Raw genomic sequence first — 25020 nt, 5'->3', positions numbered from 1 at the left:
GCAGGGTTAGGAGAGCTGAAAGAATCCCAGTCTGGCCATTCAGTGTAGTAACAAAAAGCTCCATACATCCCAGCTGTCACTTAAGCTATCACCATATAGTAAGTGATATTCACTCCCAATCTTGGCAGTGGTGGCGGACAGCTGTGGTTGCGTACCTAACAGCCATTCTCCATCCTTCTTTCTTATGGGCAGAACCTTCTTCTCACCCCAGAGTCTGACAGTGCTGGATATCACTCAGCCTTCAATAAACCAAGACATGGAAATGTGACTCAGTCCTGCCAATAGCCCCTGAAGGGAAGTGGGCTATGGGTCTTTTGAGAAATATTTTCCTCTCTGATTAAACACACGTGTAAGGAGAAGCCCCCATCTCATTCTTGCCTTAGAGCTGATCATGTGAGGTCTTGAGGCTTGGAGTTGAGGCCCCATCTTGTGACCATGAGGGAAAGTCAGCCTGTCATCATTGTGTGGCTGGATTCATCATCCCTGAACTACCCAGCTCTGGATTTCTTGTTATGTGAGACAATCTTTACTATTAAACCTCTTATAATAGGGTCTTCTGATACGTGCAGTCAAAGGCATCTAAGGAAACGTTATTTTCTGAAGCTTCTGTTCAAGAAGGCAAGATAACTGTATAATCTATGTACATATAATTGTATAATCTATTTCAGAAATATTTCCACCAAGCATGGTTAAGAAAGCATTCAAGGCATATAAACAGGAAAATTTTAGTTGTCTGGAAAGTTCAGTTTTGCGGGACAGTTCGATCCTTGAAAATGCCAAACAAATGAGGGGTTAACCATAATTGCTTCCCTGGGAGTCACATCATCAAATATTTTCACCATTATTCACAAGTTGGCCATTATTTCATTTCTTCAAACCTTCCAAACTATATATTTCTGCGCTTTCCCCCATATCTTGGGTCGGCAGGGAAGATACTCATAGATGCGCTTTGTGGTGGTTATGGTTATATTCCCATTTCCAGTCCTCTCAGGATGCTCCAGTTCCTCCAAGCCTCGTTAGGAAACGTTTTAACCCCTTGTTGAATTGCTGTAAAGTCACTCTCCAGTGAGGATTCCATTTGAGGCTGATTGTTCCTGAGAGCAATCTGTATACTTTTCATTCCCAGGCTATCCCCACAATGTGGGAAGACTGCCATATATTTACCGAGCAACCACGATCTTACTACCTACACACTAAACCTTTGAGACATGTGGATTCCAACCACTGGAAAATTAACACTACATATCCAAAATACTCACCTACAAGAAATATAAAAGTAACATTTTCCAATTCAGAAGTATCTATTTAAGGTATCTCCATTTATTATCACTACCTTTCTTTTAAGTGACAAGAAAGACTAAATATTAACCAGATTTTGTTACATGTGTTCTACTTTTCACTGGTTTAAGCTGGTTATGATATGATCATGTAAACAAATTATCTTTGTTTATTTTTTTTTTTTGGAGACGGAGTTTCACTCTTGTTGCCCAGGCTGGAGTGCAGTGGTGTGATCTCGGCTCACCGCAACCTCCACCTCCCAGATTCAAGTGATTCTCCTGCCTCAGCCTCCCGAGTAGCTAGGATTACAGGCATCCACCACCACGCCTGGCTAATTTTTTGTATTTTAAGTAGAGACTGGGTTTCACCATGTTGCCCAGGCTGGTCTCGAACTCCTGACCTCAGGTGATCCATCCACCTCGGCCTCCCAAAGTGCTGGGATTATAGATGTGAACCACTATGCCCGGCTTATCTTTGAAGTTTCAATATTATTAAACTGAAGCTTGAAGTTTCTTGGATTTTTCCACATATGCTAAAAAATCCTATTATGGAAAGAGACAGCATGGTATGCCCTTGAGGTCAGATAAAGTGAGTTCAAATATTGGCTACACCATTAATTAGTGATGATATCATAGGCAAAATATTTCTCCTCTTTGAATCCTGATTTTCTCATCTGTAAAATGAGGATAATAATTTCTATCTCATAGTGTTTGTTGAAAGAACTAAATAAAAACCAAACAGGTACTCAGTATGTGTTCATTTCTTTTCCCTACCACCCTTCTTTAAGTGGTTTTTTTCTTCCATCTAACTTTATACACTGTTCTGTATATGTGAAATTTCTGATAACTGTAGCATATGTTTCAGGTTCTTAAATTTTAACTATTTTGATGAAAATCTTTCTAAACTTCATGTCTCAGTAAATATGATATACTGAAAATAAATTAGCCTTTTTTGGATGACAGAGAACACATTAACAAGTTATACACGATGGCCCAAGTGTTAAGGAAGATTTAGCTTTTACTATTTCACAAATGCCTCCTACCTAAGAGCCTGCATTCCCTAAACCTCATTTCTGAAAATGCACCTCAAGTGATTTTAATTCGCCTCCCCAGGTAGGAATCACTGCAGAGAACCATGAAGTCCTTAAGCGCAGGGGCTGTGAATTAGTTATTTTAGTATTTCTAGCACTTAGTACAGCGCATGACACATGAGAAACACTCAGTAAAGGCTCATATAAAGCACATGCAAATTAAAACCTCAATGAACTTCCACTTCATGCCCATTTGATTGACAAACATTTTAAAACTGGAAAATACCCAAGTGTTGTCAGGCTGTGGAACATTGGGAATTCCCATTCCCTGATGATGATGATGATGATATAAATTGCTAAAACCTTGTACAGTAAAAGTAAAGGTGTATGTACTCCACGACACAGCAATTCCACTCTTAAGAAACTACCACATGTGTGTAAAAAGATCGCAGGAGAAGGCCTAAAGTAGCCCCACTTGTGATAACAAAAACTGGAAACATCTTAAATGTCTATCAACAGGAGACCGGATAAATACATTGTGCCTATTCTTTCACAGGAATACCTTACAGCAGTTTAAATGAATGAGCTAGGGCTACATGTGTCAACCTAGATGAATCTCAAGGACCAAATGTTCAGTGAAAAAAGCAAGCTGCAGATGAACACTGTTCAGTATATACTTACAAGGATCAAAAACGTGCACACATTACATACTATTTAGGAATGTCTATGTAATTAAAGTATAAAAACATGCATAGGAAAGATATACACCAAATTAAGGGTAGTGGTTACCTCTGTGGGTGGGGAAAAGGGAATGAGTAAAGGATGGGGGTGCATTTTGGAGGGGCACTCAGGGGGCTTCAACTGAATTGACAGTGTGCTATTTTCCTTTGCTCTCCTTTCCTTTCTCCTTTCCTTTCTGCTATTCCTTTCTCCTTTCCTTTCCTTTCTTTTTTTCTTTTTTGAGACAGAGTCTCTCTGTCACACGGGGTGGAGTGTGGTAGCGTGATCTCGGCTCACTGCAACCTCCGCCTTCCAGCTTCAAGCTATTCTCCTGCCTCAAACTCCCAAGTAGCTGGGACTACAGGTGTGTGCCACCATGCCCAGCTAATTTTTGTATTTTTTTTGTAGAGATGGGGTTTCACCATGTTGGCCAGGCTGGTCTTGAACTTCTGACCTCAGGTGATCTGCCCGCCTTGGCCTCCCAAGTGTTGGGATTACAGGCATGAGCCTCTGTGCCCGGCCTGACAATGTGCTATTTCTTTTTAAAAAAACTCAGAAGCAATTACAGCAAATTATGAAGATTTGATTAAGGTGGGTACATGGGTATTTGTTTTCATAGTCTTTATACACATGTGTATGCCTTAAATATTTATAATTTTAAAAAGTTTAAAAAAGTAAGACATTAATATTCACAGACGCAGAAATCAGTATGATTCCATTTATATTAAGTTCAAAAATAGAAAAAATAAATGATATATTTTTATGGATATATACTAGGTGGTAAAGCTATTGAGAAAATCAAGAGGGCAGTTAACATAAAATTCAGGGTAGTGGTTCCTTCTGGGAGAGACACCCACAGGACGTCTATGATACTGGCACTATTCTATTTCTTAAGTTGAGTAGTGTTTATGAATCTTTAAAGTGTGTGGATATGTTTTACATAATCGTGTGTGTGTGTGTGTGCGCGTGTGTATAAACAGATAAACATTACTTTGAAAATGGGGGCATTTGTTAAAAAAACTAAGAGGGTCAGGAAAACTGAATAGTCTTCAGAAAAAAAAAAAAAACAACAACCCACAGTGGGTAGAGTGCCAGGAAGAATGAGGGTGTCCATGCCCTTGAGCTCATGGTCTGGAAAAGGAGACCTGGCAAGGTCAAGAAGCAACTTCAGTTGAGCATGCTAAGACAATGGCAGAGGCACACACGCGGTGTCACGCAGGGAGAAGGGCAGCCGCCTGAGGTTACCGCTCTGCAGAAGAGATGGACTTTGAGTTGGTTCTAGATGGTTACAAGTTGAATCAGAATTGGAGACAGGAATATCTCATAGAAAGGAAAAGATTCAATAACCCATTTGATATTTGTAAACATAATTCTCCACTTTTAATTTTGCTCCTTTGGTATCTCATATTCGATGTAGAAAAGCCATAATCTATCCCAGCATTTTGGGAGGCTGAGGTGGGTGGATCACCTGAGGTCAGGAGTTTGAGACCAGCCTGACGAACATGGTAAAACCCCGTCTGTACTAAAAATACAAAAATTAGCCTGGCTTGGTGGTGGGTGCCTGAAATCCTAGCTACTCGGGAGGCTGAGGCACGAGAATTGCTTGAACCGGGGAGGGGGAGGTTGCAATGAGGTGAGATCACGCCATTGCACTCCAGCCTTGGTGACAGAGCAAGACTGTCTCAAAAAAAAAAAAAAAAGAAAAGAAAAGCCACAACCTGTCCTATATTACCAATGTTTCCCACTACTCTCCTGCCCTTTGTATCTGTGAAGAGAAATAGGTGACACAAAGATGAAGGAAGCAGACGCTGGTGTCAGGAAGCTCACAGGCCAAGTCCTTCTCCCTGTCTGGAGGGCGCCCCTTGCTTTTCTGGGTTTATCTGGTTTTACTCTCATCAAAGTTCAGATGATCAGAAATACCTCTTTTCTAGAACTCTGCATGCTTCCAACCTGTGCTCCCAAGCAGGGCTCACTCAGGGTGAGTTCTCATGAGGACAAAAGCATACCAGTGGCTGAGGCTGGGATGAAGGGGTCCCCAAAGTAGGAACCCCTCCTGTCCCAAGTGCTTCTCTGTCCCTCTGCTTCATCCACTCCCTCATCCATCACACACTGAGTGAGCAGATTCTCTGTTCCAGGCTGCCTGCTGGAACTGAGGGTCCACATTTCCTGGAGAGGGGCCGGGTGTGAACTCTGCACCTCCTGCCTGCTATGCCATCTGGGTTCTGTGCCCTCTGGATATACCACCTACTTGGATCCTGGCCCCTTTGCTGCTCTGACATTCTCATTTCCTCGGGCCTGGCTCTGTGTTCATTCCCTTCAACCTGCTATTGCTTCCAACTCTGTGATGCAGTCCAAGCCCCGCCTTCTTCCAGGAAGCCTTCCTTGCATGCTCCATTGCTCAGTGATTTCTCCAGCCTCCATGTCCATATAATCCACTTCTCAGGGGGATTGTTGACAATTTCAGTGTACTTATCTTTATGTTAGATCCCTACATGTTTGCCACTGGGTTAGACACACGGTAGGTAGTGGATGCATATTTAGTGACTAACTGGCATTGATTAGTGAGGAAATGGGGACTGCACTAGACATGTACAAAGAAACATGCTTTTATGAGATGCAGAAAGAAATTGAGCAAGAGAGAACACCATAAATAGCATTTAGTACTGTTTTAACTTCTATTTTTAAAAGAATTGAGTCACAATAAATAAACTCCTGGCCTGGGAGGATTAAAAAAGAAATCTGGTTAAATTAAGGAAGAGTTTGATTAAAAGAATCCTTAAATAAATTACAATATATTCAAATGCAAAATCCTTAGCATTTAAAAATTGGGCAAAGTCTTTAAAAAGTCATAAGCTTTTAATTTCAAAGAATTCATAGACAATGTACCAAATGTAAATGATTAGAAGAAAAAGGACAAATGAGGTGTCTGTGGTTAAAGTAAAGGGTCAGTTTAAATTCCTGTCTTGAAAAATTAGAATGAAGCAGTTAGATACAAATTTGGGAATATTGTGACTACCCCAATGCGAAGTATGACTAATGTGGCTTTAGGAAGAAAAAAAAAAGTTCCTCAAATGAATCTAACTTTTTTCCCTAAAGGATCTAGTTATGACCTTTACATTCTAGAGAAAACAACATGTATCCAAACTGACAAACATTCCCTGAGCACATACCATGGCCGGCTCTAGGGAAACCCAGCTGAGTAAGGCCAACTCCTCCCCACAGTGTCAGCATGCCCTCAACTCACTGTTCTCAGGAAAGGAGACGAGGACGAAGGTTATAACAGAGGTGTCAACCACCATGCAGTATGGGTGCAAAGATACTCCATCGAAGGGCTTCTAGGAGGCTTATTAGATGAGACTGCTTTGAGCAGGGCCTTGAAAAACAACTAGGATTTGGATAGGCAGTGGCAGTGGGAGGACTATGACTGGGAAGGGAGGGAGAGAAGCAAGAGAATCCAGGCAGAGGGAAAAGTATTAAGCAGTCACCGTAGAGGCCCAGCGAGGGAATGCGGGGGATCTGGGTAGACGGAATACAGGCTGGAGGACAGAAGCTGGAGCAGAGAGGCTCTGGATAAAGATTGCAAACTGTGGAGTGCTCTGAACACATAGTGAAGGACTGTGAACGTCTTTCTATGAGCATTACCCTTGAACATTTCTAGGGAAAAAAGCTCACACCACTCATTCCAGTGTGGCAGACACTTTCCTATAATGCCCCCAGCATGGTACAATCCTCTAGAATGGAGAATGCTTTGGAAAGTATGTACAAATCAAAAATAAGGCCAGGCGCGGTGGCTCACGCCTGTAATCCCAACACTTTGGGAGGCCGAGATGGGTGGATCACGAGGTCAGGAGTTCGAGACCACCCTGGCCAACATGGTGAAACCCTGTTTCTAATAAAAATACAAAAATTAGCTGGGCGTGGTGGTGCCTGCCTGTAATCCCAGCTACTCAGGACGCTGAGGCAGGAGAATTGCTTGAACCCAGGAGGTAGAGGTTGCAGTGAGCCGAGATTGTACCACTGCACTCCAGCCTGGGTGACAGAATGAGACTCTGTCTCAAAAAAAAAAAAAAAAAAGTTATTATTCGTTAGTAGAAGGGGGTGACTATTTACTTCTCAGTATAGGAACCAATTCCTCTCTACAAAACATCTCTTAAGACTTATCAGCCGGTGTGGTGGCTCATGCCTGTAATCCTAGCACTTTGGGAGCCTAGGCGGGAGGATCGCTTGAGCCCAGGAGTTTGAGATAAGCCTGGGCAACATAGCAAGATCCCGTTTCCATTAAAAAAAAAAAAGACTTATTTGCACATCTCTTATGTTCAAGGGAGATGCTGAGTGGAAGGCTTGATAATGGACTTACTATGTGAAAAATCCAGAGAGTCAGGCCTGAAGTTTGGGATTGGATGTAAGGCTGACACAGGACACAGTTTAAATCAAATATCTGGCAGAAGGATTACATGTTTCCTCATAAGACTTGGTTAGAAGCACTGGTCACCATGTCATTCCCCCATGCAGAAACCTTCATTAACCTATTTTTATTTCTACATTATCCTTTCCAAGCAGTTTCCATGCTGGACTTATACCGTGCAGGGATATTACAATTATAGGACAATGTCTGACCCACTAGAATGTGTGGAATGGGGATATTTTCCCCAGAAATGTTAAAAAATCAGCCACTCAGTCTGCAAGATGGGTGGGGAACAGCTTATCTGGGTGAAGCCGAGTGTTGAGTGAGGAAGGCATGTGTACTCGAGGTGGGCAAGCTTTGGCAGGTGAACTGACCTCTGTGCTCCTCTTTTCCCATTCCCAAGACTGGAAAAAACTTTAAGCTCAGGGTTGGAAATGAAGCAGGTAAAGCACGCCATACAGTCTTGCACATAGAAAAGTGCTCAATAAATACAGGCTGCAACCTAAAGAACTAAGGATGGGAGGGATGGCATACTGGGAAGAAAACGGTGTTTGGAATTTGACAGATCTGGGCTTGATTCCTCCTTTGCCAGTTGCTACCTGACCTCAGGCAACTGACTATACTCTCTAAGTCTAGGTTTTCTCATCTTTAAAATGGGATAATACCTACCTTGCAAGGCTCCTGGATGGTTTACATGGTATAATGAATATATGTGCAGAATACTTGGCACATAGCAGGTCTTCATAAATGATACCTATTATTACTCACTTTTCTCTTAGAAGCAATTAAAACAGACAAACAAACCTGAGTCTATATAATTTCTTTTCCTAGCCTGATTTCCAGCTGAGAAAATACAAACCAAGCTTTCAAAACAACTTTCAAAACAAGTTGAAAACTAAGCTTTCAACTTAGTTTTGTCCATCTATTTATTTGAGGTAAATTCAGAGTCCTTTGGAACTCTTCATTTTTAATTCTACAATCTTCTTCCAGCAAATAAAAAATCATAGCTCTAGAGAATCTACGGTCAAATGGGGTCCTGCAGCCAAACCGGACCACAGATCAGAAAAAGATCTGAACAGAGAGGAAGCCTGATGAAACCTCGGTCAGACAGTTTTTCCTTTGTGCTTTGATCATGCAATATTCTCTCCATTCTCATAGGTGCTTTCTTTAAGATAAAGGCTCTTTCTTTTTTTGCTAACCAATTTATTTGTGAGTGTTTTTTTTTTTTTAAAGACCCACAATATAATCAATCTTTGTATATTTAGGATTACCTCTTTGGCCTGTGAATTGTCCAGCTTTTTGTTTTGTTTTCTTGCTACTGTTTTCTGACTAGCTCCTTGGTCATTACTTCTTCTATGAGCATGGGTGGGACAGGCAGCAGGGGAATGGAAATTAATGTTCCTCTTTGATAGCAATTCTGATTAGAAATTTCATTTGAGATAAAGGTATGATTGCTGCCTAAAATACTGTTTTTAAATTGTCATATTATTCTGAAATTTAACTAACTCAAAGAGAATAAACTGTGCAAACATAAGGTGATCATGTTGAGGCAAGCCCTTGACTTGAGTGAGTTGCCTGACTTGTACATCCAAATTTAAAGGAATAAGATACTTTTCAATCAAAGGTATTGAATCATTGTTAATCCGAAGAAAAGCATGCATATTCACAGTCAGTAAACCATTTCTGACAGCTGTGCTTTCCAGATAACTGGGGTTTGTTTTTGAAAGCTCTAAAACTTTTATTTTTCATTGTTTTTGATAAAAATCTCTATAAAATGGACCTTACATTTACTGCTCCCCTATCCCTTTCTAAATGACTCAAAGTCAAATTTAAGAATATCAATACTGATAGTGGGCCATACAATTGTGACACCAAGGCCTAATCAGACACGCCAGTCCCTAAGCTAAGTGTGGCCTATATCTGTAGTTTCCTGGTTCCCTCCACACCTACCTCCTGGGCCCAGGCTATTAGGTTACTCTTCTTGTACTCTTACAAGGTTAGTGTATCTATGTACCACAGACCTTCTCTGGGTAGTTAAACTGCAAGGGACTTGAAACAAACTAACAAGTAAACAAACAAACAAAACACAGAATGTTCCAAGGGACTTGGGAACCAGCCACCAAGTTTACTAGAAGGCGAGAGCCAGGCCTGAGGGTGAAATACAGAGAAGTGGTGACCCTCTTGAGTTACTTCCTCTGGCTATCTTTTGACAAGTGTACTTACAGGGTGTACTGTAGCTAGGTGAGACATTTACTTAAAAATCTCTGAGTCTTGTCATAACAGAGGATATACTTGCTAAAGCACAGTTCAAAAAGGAGCCCAAGAAATCAACTCTCCGTTTTACAAATGAGATTACGCTATAGAGTGGTGAACTGCCTCAACTGCTTCAGCAGCCACAGAGAGAAGCCCAGGGTCTTGATTCCAAGCCCAGTGAGGTACATACACACTACAAGGCCACTGTATTTAACAGTACATCTCCCTGCAGGAACACAGTAACTGCCACTACAATAGCTGTACGACTTTGGGTTACTGATTCATCTGTGCTTGAAAGATCTCTTACTACAGATAATAGTTAGGCATGGGGTTTTTTGTTTTGTTTTCATTCCTTTTTTTTTTTTTTTTTTTTTGGGACGGAGTCTCGCTCTGCTGCCTGGGCTGGAATGTAGTGGTGTGATCTTGGCTCACTGCAACCTCTGCCTCCTGGGTTCAGTGATTCTCCTGCCTCAGCCTCCCGAGTAGCTGACATTACAGGTGCCCACCACCATGCCCAGCTAATTTTTTGTATTTTTAGTAGAGATGGGGTTTCACCATGTTGGCGAGGCTGGTCTTGAACTCCTGACCTCGTGATTCGCCCACCTCGGCCTCCCAAAATACTGGGATTACAGGCATGAGCCACCGTGCCCGGCTATAAATACTTTCTTAATGCTAAGAAAAAGGAGGAAAATCAGCATTTATTGAATACCTACAATGTGCTGGATACTTTCTGCCATATGATTCCCCCTCGCCCCTTTCTACTAGGAGTAAGCCTGGCTTTGGGCAAGCCAGAGAACTTGAAGCTGTGAGGAGATGGGGCCAGGATTCGACCCTGCCTGCTGTGTCTGGAGCCCATGCTGTATCTACAAGTGCTATAAATGTGATTTACTGCTTGTTTCTGACATTGTGGAAAGAGCTTCTGCTTGGGCATTTTGGCTGATCTACCATTTCAGCCAGGGGTTGCTATAGGCAAGCACATCTCTGGCTGTTGATCAAGAAAGCACAAAAGTCTGAGAGATTGATAAACACAGTCGTTTTGGACCAGAGGAGGAGTATGATGTCTGTCTTTCAGACCAAGTTAAGCTCAAGGGCATGATGAGCTCAGACTTTTAAGAATTTTTATTTTTGATGTTTCCATGTCCTTGTTTTCTTCCTTTTGGTTGGGAAAACATCTTACGGTTATATCTACGGGGTTTTAATGGCATCTGACACTGTTGCTCACTTCTGTTCTTCTCCCATGGTTTCCACAACACTGTATTGATCTGCTACTTTTCTTCCTTTTAAATTTTTTACTGCCTCTTTTTCTCCATCTGCTTAACATGCCCTCACTCCCAAAGCTCAGCTGAGGGACCTGTTAAGCCTGAAGGCTTGGCACTTCAGCACTTCCTTTTCAGAAAGTCTCATCTGTCAGTAACCTTTGAAGCCTTCAAAATCTCCATATCCTTCCCTGACTGCTCACCTCTGCTCCAGTCTGATAATTTCAGAGGCCTGGAGGATGTCCTCATATAAACTTTACAGGTCAAATGTGTATTGTCTCATTTGTGTCTTCAAGATGGGCATACCATCCCATTCACAGACAAGAACGCTGAAACTCAGGAACACAAAGTAGCTTGTTTAGAATTAGTTAAGTGACAGAGCTGGCCTTGAATTCAAGCCTTCAGATGTTAAATCCAGTGGCTCTGATGCCACTAGAATGTTCTGGTACTAACTGGAGAAGAATTATACTACACGTCCGAAATAAAAGTTACAACCTGCTCCCCATTCACCATCAGATTGGGTCTAATATTCTGCCAAATGCAAAACCTTTGAGTCACTTTGAGTACTCTTCATTCTGCTGCTTCCATCTCTGGAAAGGCTCCCATTCTGAAGAGGACAGGACAATATCCTGCTGGGAGGAGACTGGTGGGGCTCGGGGGGGTCACATTTACTTCCGCCATGGATAAACAGAATGGGAATGTATATTTTTTAAAGTATTGACCTATTTCATACAGCAAAATATACTTTTGGTTAATCCTAAATACCAATCACATCACACCAATTCAGTAAGCTTTGTCTACCTCCAAGAATTGTCCTTCTATCTGTCCTACACGTGGAGGCCAGTTTAATTACCTTAATTGTGCCCCTTGTCCTCCTCCATAGGGACCAGCCCAGGTCTCCTGGATAAAAATACAATCCTTGAATGCCGGTGGGGGCAGCCCAGGGGAGGCCTAGGTAGCCTTTCCTTCTAAGGTGTGGTATAGCCCATCAAGCTCAGGTTAAAAGACTAGGGATTGAATAAAGAAGTTGAAGTTCATATACACAGAGCATTTAAGGACAGATGAAAAAAATCAGATTGGAAATAAAAGAGAAAGGAAAGTTCCAAAGGGCTTTAAAATAAAGTACCTTAACCCTGGCCACACTGCAGCAGAGCCTGATGTGGACTCAACAGCTAACCCCTTCTCATTCAGCCTGCCTGCTACTCTCACAATAAAACAGCTGCTCTCACTGCCCCCCCGCCTTACTCATGACCCCTCACCAACACTCTGTGATGGAAATCTCTTTGTTTCTGGAGGCCAAATGGCTCATTCTAGATTAATTATTATTGGTTCCATGGAAAAACAGGTTTGGTTCATTACACGTTCAACTTGCTAAGTCACCGCTTGACCTTAGCTCAGAAAAACCTTAGCTCATAGAAGAGAAATCTGCAAAGTAGTGCCTGAGTAGGCACCAGCACGGATCAGGAGGAGGGATGTGTGAACCCCAGGTCTAGAGGAATATTTTACTAAGGAGTGTCATATTTTTATATGCACACACATCTGTATCTAACTATATCTGTGTATGTGTGTATGTATTTGGTTTAAAGAGCAGAGCAGTTTAAGACTTGTACAAAAAGAGAGTTGTTTGTCTGAAACTCAAAGAAGGTGACCATGAGTATTCTTGACCATGGGACTCTAGACCACTGAGAGTTAGAGCAACTTTTAGCATGTTAAAGAATGACCTGTGGGATTTTTAAATACTTAAAAATCAGTTATGAGGCTGGGCTCAGTGGCTCACACCTGTAATCCCAGCACTTTGGGAGGCTAAAGCAGGATTGCTTGAGCCCAGGGAATTTGAGACTAGCCTGGGCAACATGGCAAGATCCCATCTCTACAAAAAATAAAAAAAAATGTGCTGAGTGTGGTGGCCTGTGCCTGTAGTCCCAGCTGCTTGAGAGGCTGAGATGGGAGGACTGCTTGAGCCCAGGAGGTCAAGGCTGCAGTGAGCTGTGTTCAAACCATTGCATTCTAGCCTGGGCAACAGATCAAGACTCCGTCTCAAAAAAAAAAAAAATTAGTTATGATTTGATATGAGACTAGGACCAAATGCGTTCTTATAAGTCAAATAAGAAAAGGTATGTGAGTTTTTACATTTACTTAAAAAGCCTCTGCCGGGCGTGGTGGCTCATGCCTGTAATCCCAGCACTTTGGGAGAGGCCAAGGCAGGCAGATCACCTGAGGTCAGGAGCTTCGGATCAGCCTAACCAACATGGAGAAACCCCATCTCTACTAAAAATACAAAATTAGCCAGGCGTGGTGGCGCATGCCTGTAAATCCCAGCTACTCGGGAGGCTGAGGCAGGAGAATCGCTTGAATCCAGGAGGCAGAGGTAGCGGTGAGCTGAGATCATGCCATTGCACTCCAGCCTGGGTAACAAGAGTGAAACTCCATCTCAAAAAAAAAAAAAAAAAAAAAAGCCTTTGAGCTGCCCTGTCTGCACTAACCCTTATGGTAAGGGGTAAGGAGTTTGAATACAGAAGTTGGGGATTTCGAGATGAAGCAAAAATGAACTCTGCCTCAGAGGGCTCATCATTTGGGAAAGTCAGTAAACAAAATAATCCCAATATAGTATGAGAAATGCTAAAACAGGAGGCTGCACGAAAGGCTGCTGGGATTTGGAGGAAGGACTGACTGGCTCCTACTCAGGCTTTATTTTGTTTCATACTGTGCCATTTTTATTTAGGAGATAATCAAAGTGGAGATAACAAAAAGCAGCTCACAAGATGGATGGCCCTGCTTTGCTGATGTGCATCACTGCTGAACTGCCTGGAGGTTTCCGGCTGACGAAACCTCAGGTCCAAGGGTAACTCTAGGCTTCACCTCCCAAGCCGCCTATTCACCTGGTGGTGGCAGAGAAAGCAAAAGGCAAACTCCTCAGTGGCTCCAAGGGGCCACTCAGGCAGCAGAACCTCTTTGCTCAGAGGAAGCCGAACTCCATACCAAGGAATTCCAACCTCTCTTCCACCGGCTCCTTCTCATCATGCTGAAGGTTCTCTCATCCTGTAAAGCAGCCTCTTGACTATCATCCCTACTAGCTATTGCCCATTTACTCTTCTTTTAATTCCCCAAATTCTCAAAAGAGGACGGGCTCACCTTCACTGTGAATGAATTCTGTGGCCCATTCACATCTGGCTTCCGCCTACTCTAAGGCATGAGTGTTTCTTTTTCTACACCATCAATGGGCACCATCATTACTGAAGCAAATGCTTTTCATGCTCCTCTCCCTTGTCACCTGCACCTCCCCAGATCCGGTCCTCTGCTGCCTTCGTGGTGCCCTCTCTCCTGGTTCTCATCTCACCCCTCTGCTGCTGATTGGTCTCCATCAGGAATCTTCAGCCCATCGCCAGCTGCTGGCCTTTCCCAGATCTGTTTTCAGTCCCCTCATATCACAGATTCATCCTGTGGGAATTCTACCAGCTCTGTGGCTTCTACTGCCACCACTTTAGTCTCACAATTTTGGCTACTTACTGAATATCTCCATCTGCTTATCACATAAACACCTCAAACTCAATATATTCAAACTCACTCACTTTCCTCCAGATTCTGGTACTCTTAAAATTTCCACTCTTTCCTTAGCTACCCTAGCTAGGAGTTATACAGTAATCTGCAATTCCTCCCTCTCCCTCACCTCCAAAATCTGAGTGTTCACCAAGTCCTTTTGATTCTACTCTGAAGTATTTCTAGAATCTCTCCTTTCCTCTTCCTCCCTATTCCCACTGTTTCAGTACCTCATATTATCTTTCCTGAACCAGTTTCCCAAGTGGTTTATCAAACCCCAGCTTCTTCCACTTGAATTCATCCTCCCCTCTGCCATTGGACTTACAGTATAATAGAGAAAATGCCACATCCCTGTTCAAAATACTCCCAAAGCTTTCCATCAGTAATAGGATATATTTTGAACGGTGTATATAAAAGGGTCTTTATAACTAGGTGCATTTCTTTCCTGTCTCATCTCCACATTATTTCCTTAACTCACTTATCCTAAAAATCAGATTTTATGAATTATTCCCAATATTTGGAATGGATTGCATCAGCCCACGAATACACTGTTCTCTCTGCCTTGGACATCCTTTCCTCTTTATCTACCTACCAGATTTCTAATTGCACTTCCAAGACTGAGCTCTAGGACATATGTGTAAAACCCTTCTGAGGGGGTTTCTACACATGTATTATGGCATTTTCCACGCAGTGTTTGCATGCCTGTCTCCCTTACCCGAGTACAAACTCCTTAGTGTAGCTATCCATTTCTGTGACCACATGGCTTAACCTAGACGTTGGTCCATAGTAGATACTCAAATGTTTGCTGAGTTGACTTGAAGGTACACAAGGCTTTTCTCCTTAACAATAGGACCAGACTTTAACCTCTGCATGCCCGAACGCTCTTGGTAATAGTGCTACAGACATAGCAGGTGAGGAACAAAACAGTCAGCTGGTTACGGAGGCAACCGTGAAGCACCAGAAGTGGTTAAAAGCAGCTGTGAAAGGGCAGGCATGGGGCGGGGTACTCTTGCTTTTCATTATACATCTTTGTGAAGTATTTGCTTTTGCAACCATGTCCATGTTTCTTTGGCAAATATAATAAACAAAATCCTTTGTTGGTTATGAATAATCTATTGATGTGTCTGCAAACTACAAGGGACCACTTTCCATATATTTAAAAGGACAGATTATGGGCCGGGAACAGTGGCTCACGTCTGTAATCCCAGCACTTTGGGAGGATGAGGCTGGAGGATCACTTGAGGTCAGGAGTTTGAGACCAGCCTGGCCAACATGGTGAAACCTGTCTGCACTAAAAATACAAAAATTAGCTAGGTGTGGTGGCGGGCACCTGTAGTCCCAGCTACTCGGGAAGCTGAGGCAGGAGAATCGCTTGAACCCAGGAGGCAGAGGTTGCAGTGAGCCGAGGTCGCCCCACTGCACTCCAGCCTGGGCGATGGAGCCAGACTCTGTCTAAAAATAAATGAATAAATGGACAGGTTACGTTCTGAGGCTTAACTCCAAACAGGCTATGTCATCAGTGTGTGTCAGTGACGAGGGAGATAGCCAAGCATGAGGCTGCACGGGGAGGGTCACTAGGCCAGCAGAGCCCTGCGCCTCAGAACAAAGCAATGGCCCTGCACAGAGAACATGGGCTCACTCTGCCGTCTGCTAATGTGTAAAGATAATGCTCATCATCTGTATGTATGTTTTGTGCAGGGTTTACTAAAAATATGAGAATACTGTAGGAAAACATGATTTTATTCCTTCTAACCCCTAACATACGTAAAGAGTGAAGGAGATGAAGCCTTTGCAAGCTATTTCTGCCAGCTTATGAAAACTAGAATTTTAATATTTTAGGCAGAAGATTTTCATATATACGAACACATATATGTACATGTATTTGGTTAAAGGAAGTGGGCCTTAGTGCTGGGGCATCCAAGTGTAGAAAGGGTGAGGCTGAGATTTCTATTGAGGACAATTTAGTACTTGGGTTGTGAGCCAAACACGAAGAAGGTGGGCACTGTGATGTGTACCAGCAGGCTCAATGGGCACGTTACCCAGCGTGGATCACAGGTCGATTCTTTCAAAGGCCAGAGATGAAGATAAATCAGTCTTTGCTAAAAACATCCCACGGCTGCGCGTTACAAAGGCATATTTTGCTTCAGTATGTAATTTCCTCACTACTTAACTATAAAAGTGTATCAGAATTGAATTCTAGGGCTTTTTCTAAATGAGAGCTGAGTCACAGGTATCTCGGTGCTGTGTCTGCAGACTAAAGTGGATGACTCACATCTGTAAAATTCTGAGAGAAAGTACCAACCGACCCCTTGCTTAGTCATCTTTTGCATGGATGCTGGGTTCATGAGCTCTGTAAACTATAATGAGCGATCTAGCCTTTTACCATCTCTTTATTCTTTTCTAAACAGTACAAATTACATCTCTAAAAATAACTTCATCTACGCAAGTGAGTCACTTCAACCTAACAAGCTTCCACAAGTTACTCAGCTAAATTGTACTATTTACTGTGAAGGTAAAAATCTTGTTGTCATATTAGTCCCATTTTTTTCTTTCTTTCTTTTTTTTTTTTTTGAGATAAAAATTTGGTAGACTTGGAAAAGGGAGGAGGTTTCAGCAAATGTTTTAAAAAACATATGATTTACTCCTAACCTCTCACATGGGCAGGGGTTGTGATGGGGCTGGAGGAAGGAATTCTTTGAAAACTATTTCTAACAGCGCATGAAAATCAGAATTTTAATATTTCAGGCTGTAGCTTAAGCAAAGACTCTGCAATTTTCTTTGTGTGAGCCCATGCGTAAGCTGTCCTCTCTGCGGGATGTTTATTGGCTGTTGGAAGAGATATATATCAATAATTCTATTTGCTTTAAAATCCTGATCTGTGAAATTATGACATTTTTGACGAGAGACCCAGCCACGCTAATAAATGCATATGTATTAAATACTAATCTTTGCTCTTCCAGGAGCTGATCACTCACCACACCCTGAATTCTCTAGACACACAACTAAGCTTTGGTACTCCACCCGTTTACTGTGTAGCTTTCCAACCCCGAGGCCTGCCTGCTGGTCTTTAGCTTGCCTTTCCTGGCCTGGCATTGTCAGCTCTCAGCAGCCCCACCCCAGGCCTATCCCAGTTAGGCAATAGGTACAATGGAGGCAAGAGCAGGTGACCTGCATGAGGCTTATACCTTCACAACCTGGGCAGCAATACTGAAATATCAAAGCACTGTTAATCCACACTCTAGCCTCAGTCAAAGTGGACTAGAAGGATTTCTCATTCATGTTTGGCCAGGAATGAAATTACTAATACCAACAGGCCTAGAAAGTTTCCACTGCTGTTTCAGCTTCTCCTTTAAGACATCAGATCCGTTGGCTTCATCCAAATGGCCACGTGAACAACCTTTCCCTGTGCATGGGGGTGCTTTAGAAGAGGAAAATGAAATCACTGGTCCATCTGAAAATTCCCCAGGAAATGGACTGCAAAGCCTACTTCCTGACTCCAACGAAGGCAGAGGCTGAGTCATCTAATCCCTCCCGACTAGTATTCACTTGACTTGCACCAAGTAGGTCAGCTGGAGTCGTCTGAATTCTGCTCTCTGTCCTCGTAAGCAGCCACCCCCTGCAGTGGAGCTACTGGAGCATGCTGGGTCTGGTCTCTTCTGCGAGGTCTTCACTCAGCCTCAGCCCACAAAGTTGATGTTACATAACCTCTCCTAAGTTTCTCTTTTCTCATTTGCAAAATGGGAAGAGTCACACCATTTACCTCTCAGGGCTGTGACGATGAAAAGGGACACTGTACATGCAAGTGCTACACAGACTTCAAGGTGCTCTGACCACTCAGCTCTCCCATTTCAGCAAGTGGTTACTGAGCTCTTGTCTAGTGCCTAACACCGGGCCAGGCGCTGTGCATAACAAAGAGTTAAAACATGGTTTAGAAGCCTGGGCAACATGGCAAAACCCTGTCTCTACTAAAAACACAAAAAATTAGCTGGGCATGGTGGGTGCACCTGTAGTCCCAGCTACTGGCATAGGGGGTTGAGGTGGGAGGATTGCCTGAGTCTAGGAGGTTAAGGCTGCAGTGAGCCAAGATCGCACCACTGCATTCTGGTCCTGACAACAGAATGAGATTCTGTCTCAAAAAACAAAACAAAACATGGTTTAGATTTAGTCCTGGACCTCAGTAAGCAAATTAAGCAGAATAATGAAGCAAATACATATGACAATTAAGGAACCATTCAAGATAACAGATCTCATAATTACGTTATTTGGATCAAGTGTTATTCAGGTGGGAGTGCTCGGTTAGACAGTGAAGCTGAAGACAGCTTTTAAGAAATGGTGCAAGAAAGATGAGGAGGTCAAGGAGAAAAAGCAAGAAGGGTCAACAAAGAGGCCAAGGCTGAGTGGGAGAGAAAGCTGGATGGGGAAGGTGAGCCTGTCTACTGGGGAAGGCCGCCAGATAAAGGTGGTGTCTTGAAATGATTAATGTGGTGGCAAGGCCCAAGAGCCACAGACAAACCAGCTGGCCAGTGAGCTAGTCCTGGAGGTGACAGGTTATAAGCAAGGGTGAAGGCACGGGAGTGGCAAACACAGGAATGAGTAACACCTTGCATTTCTATAGCACATGACGCCTTCCCCTTTGCTTTCATGTGATTTAATCCTCACAAACCTCCATGAGCTAGGCAGGGTAAGTGTCAATCTCATTTCACAGACGAGGAAGCTGAATCTCGGAGCCACTGCGTGGTGAGGCTGAGAAGTTAACCCAGTTTCCTGACTAAGATGGGTGCTCCTTTGACTGCCTGTGTAGCCTCCACACTTGCTGGGTATCAGATTTACCCATGAAGCTGTTTTATTTTTTATTTTTTTTGGAGACAGTCTTGCTCTGTTGCCCAGGCTGGAGTGCAGTGGTATAATCTCGGCTCACTGCAACCTCTGCCTCCCAGGTTCAAGCAATTCTCGTACCTCATCCTCCCAAGAAGCTGGGACTACAAGTCCATGCCACTACATGCAGCTAATTTTTGTATTTTTAGTAGACACGGGGTTTCACTATGTTGGCCAGGCTGGTCTCGAACTCCTGACCTCAAGTGATCCTCCCACCTCGGCCTCCCAAAGTGCTGGGATTAGAGGCGTGAGCCACTGGGCCTGGCCTGAAGCTATTTTATTAAAACCACACAAGTTCAGCAACCAATCCTCCCTAACCCCTTTCAGATTGAACAGTGGAACAGGGAGAGGAGAGAAGAGAAGAAAGGCAGGAGGTGCTCAGTCCTCAGAATCTGCCAAGGCTCTCAGGGGTTCTGACGTAGTCAGGGCATGAACCACTGCACCCACTGCACTGTACAATGTGGTACCTAAGTGGTTAAGAAGGAGAAAAGAGACGGGCAAATGAGACATCATTCCAAGGGCTGAAGCCTCAGTTCATAGAAACTGGTCTGCCATTAAAAGCTGGATGGAGCAGAAAATGTTCGGTCCGTGGAATTGGGTAAGAACTGTGCCCTAAACAGGGACGTCGTATCAGCTCCATGTGCCTGTGCTAGCTCTTATTTTTACCCTTCACAGCCAGAGTAAGAAAGTTCCACGGCATTCCAGAAGACTGGCTGCAAGCAGTGTGGCCATGGATGACTTCCTGCACTTGCCCTCCTCCAGTGAGACAGATCCCAGCCTCTCCATTTCCCAAACCTGTATCCCTCCACATGTCGTCCCAGCCACGTCAGTCCCCAGTTCAATGGCCTCTCTGTCAAGCCTTCCCCAGCTCCCTCACGCAGAGGGAGGTGCTCCCTTCTGATTCCCACAGAACCCTCGGAAGTCCCTATCCCACTGTGGGCTTTCTTGGTCTCAGAAACTTCCCTGCCAGGCAATGAGCAGCTTGACAGCAGGGACCATCTTGCATTATCCTGTACCTCTGGGATGGGACAGGCTCAATAACTGTTGGTTTACGTGGAGCCCCGCTGAGTCTTCAGTCAAACTGAAAAAGTTCTGTCCAATTCTTGACTTTCTGCTATGCTCCCACCACTCTTTGGAGCAAAAGTGAGCTTCACAGAAGTCTGAAGTCACCTTCATTTGACTGTTCTGAATTACACCAAGGTCTGAATCCTTGAGTTGAGCCAGTTCGCGTTCCTCTTATCTTGCAGCCTTTGCCTAAGCAACAGGCTGTCCCTTTTGTTATGTGGGGTTCCATCACTACTCCACTTTCCTCCTCAAAGCTACAAGTTTTAAAGGATTTTGCCTAAAGGATCATTTTCCCATGACATGTCCAAATTATTACACCCAGCAACCACATTTCTAAACCTAAAACAAAAAACTTGATATTTAATTTAGTTTTTACAACTTTTTCATGGATAAGTGTTTGATTTCTATTTGTCCTTTGAATTGAAGTTCTGAACATATTATGGTCACAGACCTTCATTGTTGCTTTTTGAACAGTAAGCTGGTCTAAATCCCAGAAGGAATCTTTTGTCTCCTCTTCATCATTCCCAGCCTCCAAAGTGGAATCTTAAAACCACCTCCTCTTGGATGCTTTCCCAAAAGAATTCTCCCAATTCTCTACCAGCCAACATAACTCTCCTTCCCCTCCCCTTCCAAAATGTATTTGTATCTACCACATCTCTCCACACATGCCAACTGAAAGTTAATGCTCTTGAAGGTAGGAACCACCTCTACATTCCACCATGTGCCTAGAACTGACGGAGTAATCATCTGGGATAATTAAACATTACTGATTGGTATAAATGTCATGAGCTGAGGGTAATTACCAAGCTTGAGCATAAATGCATACATAAAATGAAACTGAAACTTGAGAACTTGTTTTAAATGTACAATTTTGAAACTGATAAGCAGAGTCTTTCTGTATTGTACCATATTGTTAACCTGCCTGGTTGGCCCTTTCCCTTTTAAGTAATGACTCCATAAAGGATGGATTTGGGGTGATACATGCCTTCTATATTTATCCAAAATCCTTTTCAAAATCATGAGACTGCCTCTGGTTTAATATGTCAATGGAATATTCACTGTAAAGGGCATGGATATTTAAGAGGGTTGTTTCCTTTACAATGTGTGGACAGAGCTCTCAAAATTTCTTTCTTTGAAAAAGAAAACTAGAAATTATTTGAAGACTGTGACAGAGTCATGTCACTGGAATTGGAAGCACAGCTGTCCCTGTGAGGGCCCAGGCCACGAGGAGAGGAAATCATGTTGGTTCACTGACTGGCTGGGGAATCCTTGAAGGAACAAATCCAGGGTGCAGCAGGAAGTTGCCTGGGTGGGAGGTAGTGGCTCTTGTCCAGCCTGAGGCCTAATCAAATCAAACACACTCGACCACCTTGCATTTACAAAAATCTCCTCTATTTGGGATGCTGGGTGAAAATCCTAAGACCTTACACCTGTGTGCTTCTGAAGACGTCCATATATGTGAAGCAGCTGCCTCCTTTTATCTCAAACACTGCCAAACACCTTAGACATCCCACTGAGAGCTAGCTATGTGCTTATGGACAGCTATCTTCCAAACTGGGAAGAACCAAATAAGACACGCTATAGCCTTTTGTTTCTCCAAGGCTCTGGAACATATTCTGTACACATTAACTCGGTGTGCCTGCATCTCATGTAGACCTGCCTCCTGAATCCCAGGGAAGAGGGCAAGATCATATCAGTATAAGGATCAAGAAACACTAGCATTACATCACTGTGTGAGTAAGATAAAGCAAGGCAGAAGAGAAAGAGCTGCATTTGAATTTGGACATTTGAGAACTGGTTTAAATTTGGTTCTGCATTTACCACCTGTGGGATCTTAGGCAAGTCACTAAACCTCTCTGCTATAGAACGGCAATCATGACTTTTATGTTGCAGTGTTTCATAAATAACAACTATTAGTGTGATCTGGATTCAGGGCTGAGGCTCTTCTGTAGAAACAGCAGAAGATAGCAACAGACTGAAGGAATAGTCATGCCATCTGGGTGAACAGCAGGTCGACTCTTGGTTCAGGAAAGACGAAGGTGGTATGTGGTTCAGGTACAGTCAAATACACGACCAATAGCAGCAGCAGCCATAACTCTCTCCAAAACATAAAGACCACACAGAGTGTGCACATAGGTGCCAGACACCACTACTTAAAGAGCTTGTTCCTAGGCCTGCTCCTTTTTAAAGAGATAATTTAATTTTAAGTTTCATGAGGGGCCAGGCAAAGTGGCTCATGCCTGTAATCCCAGCACTTTGGGAGGCTGTGGCAGGATGAATGCTTGAAGCCAGGAGTTTGAGACCAGTCTGGGCAACAAAGCAAAACCCTGTCTCTACAAAAAATAAAAAATCAGCTAGGTGTGCTGGGACGTGCCTGTAACCACAGCTACTCAGGAGACTGAGGCAGGAGGATGGCTTGAGTCTAGGAGTTTGAGGCAGCAGTGAGCTATGATTGCACCACTATACTCCAACCTGTGTCAAAGAGCAAGACCCTGTCTCTTAAAAAAAAAATTTCATGAGGGAGGGACCATATCTTATTCAAGTACCTGATACAGTGTTTGGCCCAACAGGTGTTCAATAAAATAATTTCTAATAAAATTATAATAATAGGCTTAACCCTGTTTCTCAGCATAGAGTAAAGGAAATAGAACACAGGCTATAAATAATGTCAAGACAATATGCCTTCCAGCATTTTCCTAATATGTATAGTTGGCCAAGTACTACTAAGTACTATCAGTCAAATACTATTAGAGCTCCTGATGTCATTGTCAATGTAAAAAAAAAAAAATGACAAGAAAAAATCCAAAATATCTCAAGATTATTTCTATTGAATAGCCTCAGTTTGTTTCTAATCTTTCCACAGCCCATGTTCACATCTGTGGCCTCCCTTTTATGGGCTCTGGAGCTGTAAATCTGAAAGAAGACAGATAAGGTAGAAACCTTGTTAAACAAAATCCTCATCAAAATGACAAACATTCAAACAGGAGTGGCCTGCCTTTATCTCCAGTTACCACCCAGTTTGGATGGAGTCTGTTTCCCTTTTACAAAAGGTTTGCTGTATGAGAAGGGAACATTTTACCCAAGAGACCGAAAGTCACTCCCAACTAGGTATTTCCCAAAGGAGTTGTACTGTATGTTCCAGAGTGCAGCTGCTGAGCTAACTATCTGGGTTGCAATAAAATGTCTTGATTTTTATCCATGGTTGGACAGATTGAGTTTTCTGATAACCCCAGTCCATTTCCCTAGAAATGCAGGTATGTATCCACATGCTGACTCATTCCGGGTGCAGAGAGCACAGAGTCTCTACAGAGGGTGGAGACTGCAAAGGCGAATACTTCCAAGATGGAGAGGAGAAGGGGGAAGGGAGAGAGCAAGAAAAAACAACCTAGAGGAGTGTTCTGGATTGACTATTTACAGACAGTTTGCCAGCAACAGATAAGGGATGGATCAGGGCTGGCAACCATTACTGGGGTGGTTTCTTTGGGTCTTTTAAGATAAAAGAGATTTGATATGTTTATTAAGTAATGTGGTTACCCTGGAAGCTGGGCATGTACTTCTCGTGATAACTGTATAGCAATTACTTCTGTTGGTTACAAGCCTCAGCTTTTGTTTGCTGAAATGTTAGATTTGGTTATATCTTTGTAGGTATGAGATACTTTTAAAGGGATAGTGTTTAGTAAATTTAGATATGTAAAACTTGCCTTTCATTGGCAAGGATCACAATAACAGCTTTGTAGGATTTCTCCGCAGACAAATAATCTCTACAGTGGACCTCAAGACTTCATACTAGGATTCTGAAGATGATTGAGTCAATGGATGAGTGTAACGAACTTTTGGAAACTTCAAGGCAATTAAAGGAAACTGCAGGAGGACCAGAAAAGATCAAGACCAGGGCACGAGGGCTGATCCAAACAACGGGGGCCGGCATTTGTGATCTTGGGTAGAGCCACCCCAGTGTGGGTCAACTCCACAGCATTAGGAAAACCAGTTTATCAGAATTACCTTCTCAAGCAATAGATCTGTTCCTTGTCACATTCTTAGAACTAATAAAGACTTATCTTTATTACTACTAATTATAATGTTTTGGTTCATTCTTTTAAAAATTATGCAATATGTGACACATACCAAAGAATACTTGTAATACACACTTAAGGTCTGAAACACAGCAGAAAAACAGAACATGACTGAATCTATGCTCCCTCTCAGAACAAAGACATGAGCCACAAGCTGAAGCGACCTTGCCATCCCTCTCTCTCCATTGTCTCCCTGCCTCTCTCTCCAGAGATAATCACTGTCCTAAAATGCCTGTTTATCACTCCTTCATTTTTGTTTGTTGTTTTTTAGAGACTGAGTCTTGATAGGCTAGACTCAATTTCTAGGCTCAACGTATCCTCTTGTCTCAGCCTCCCCAAGTAGCTGGGACTATAGGCATGTGCCACTGCGGCCAGGACACCTTCACTTTTTTAGAAACATGGCTTTAATGCAGATTTCTATATCCCTAATAAATAAATGGACAGATTGTCTGGTTTTGCTTGTTTTTGAGCTCTTTATATAAAAATTCTATCGTGTGTCTCCTGGAACTTGCTTTTTTCAGTCAATAT

At 42.9% G+C, this 25020-nt stretch overlaps 1 protein-coding gene and 1 long non-coding RNA gene across 15 annotated transcripts in view, besides 2 other annotated features; one reads left to right on the top strand and one right to left on the bottom strand.

The window, feature by feature from the left end:
- The window catches only part of BABAM2 (BRISC and BRCA1 A complex member 2), a 450193-nt gene that overhangs the window by 45844 nt on the left and 379329 nt on the right, over window positions 1–25020 (bottom strand). The window lies entirely within an intron of this gene.
- LOC124907745 (uncharacterized) lies at window positions 10046–24492 on the top strand. The gene is made up of 2 exons (XR_007086254.1): window positions 10046–23673; window positions 24157–24492. It is a non-coding gene; the product is annotated as an uncharacterized LOC124907745 (long non-coding RNA).
- Window positions 16423–17622: an enhancer, noted in NCBI's record as "MED14-independent group 3 enhancer chr2:28498303-28499502 (GRCh37/hg19 assembly coordinates)". NCBI's record gives its function as "activates an origin of replication core promoter dependent on BRD2, BRD4, P300/CBP and CDK7 cofactors, and independent of MED14, by STARR-seq in HCT116 cells {active_cell/tissue: HCT116}" and the evidence as "EXISTENCE:reporter gene assay evidence [ECO:0000049][PMID:35650434]".
- Window positions 18221–18330: an enhancer, noted in NCBI's record as "active region_15514". NCBI's record gives its function as "activates an Ori minimal core promoter by ATAC-STARR-seq in GM12878 lymphoblastoid cells {active_cell/tissue: GM12878}" and the evidence as "EXISTENCE:reporter gene assay evidence [ECO:0000049][PMID:35858748]".

Source organism: Homo sapiens, chromosome 2, assembly GCF_000001405.40.
Source record: "Homo sapiens chromosome 2, GRCh38.p14 Primary Assembly".
NCBI lineage: Eukaryota > Metazoa > Chordata > Mammalia > Primates > Hominidae > Homo > Homo sapiens.
This window is presented reverse-complemented; position numbering and strand designations above follow the sequence as displayed.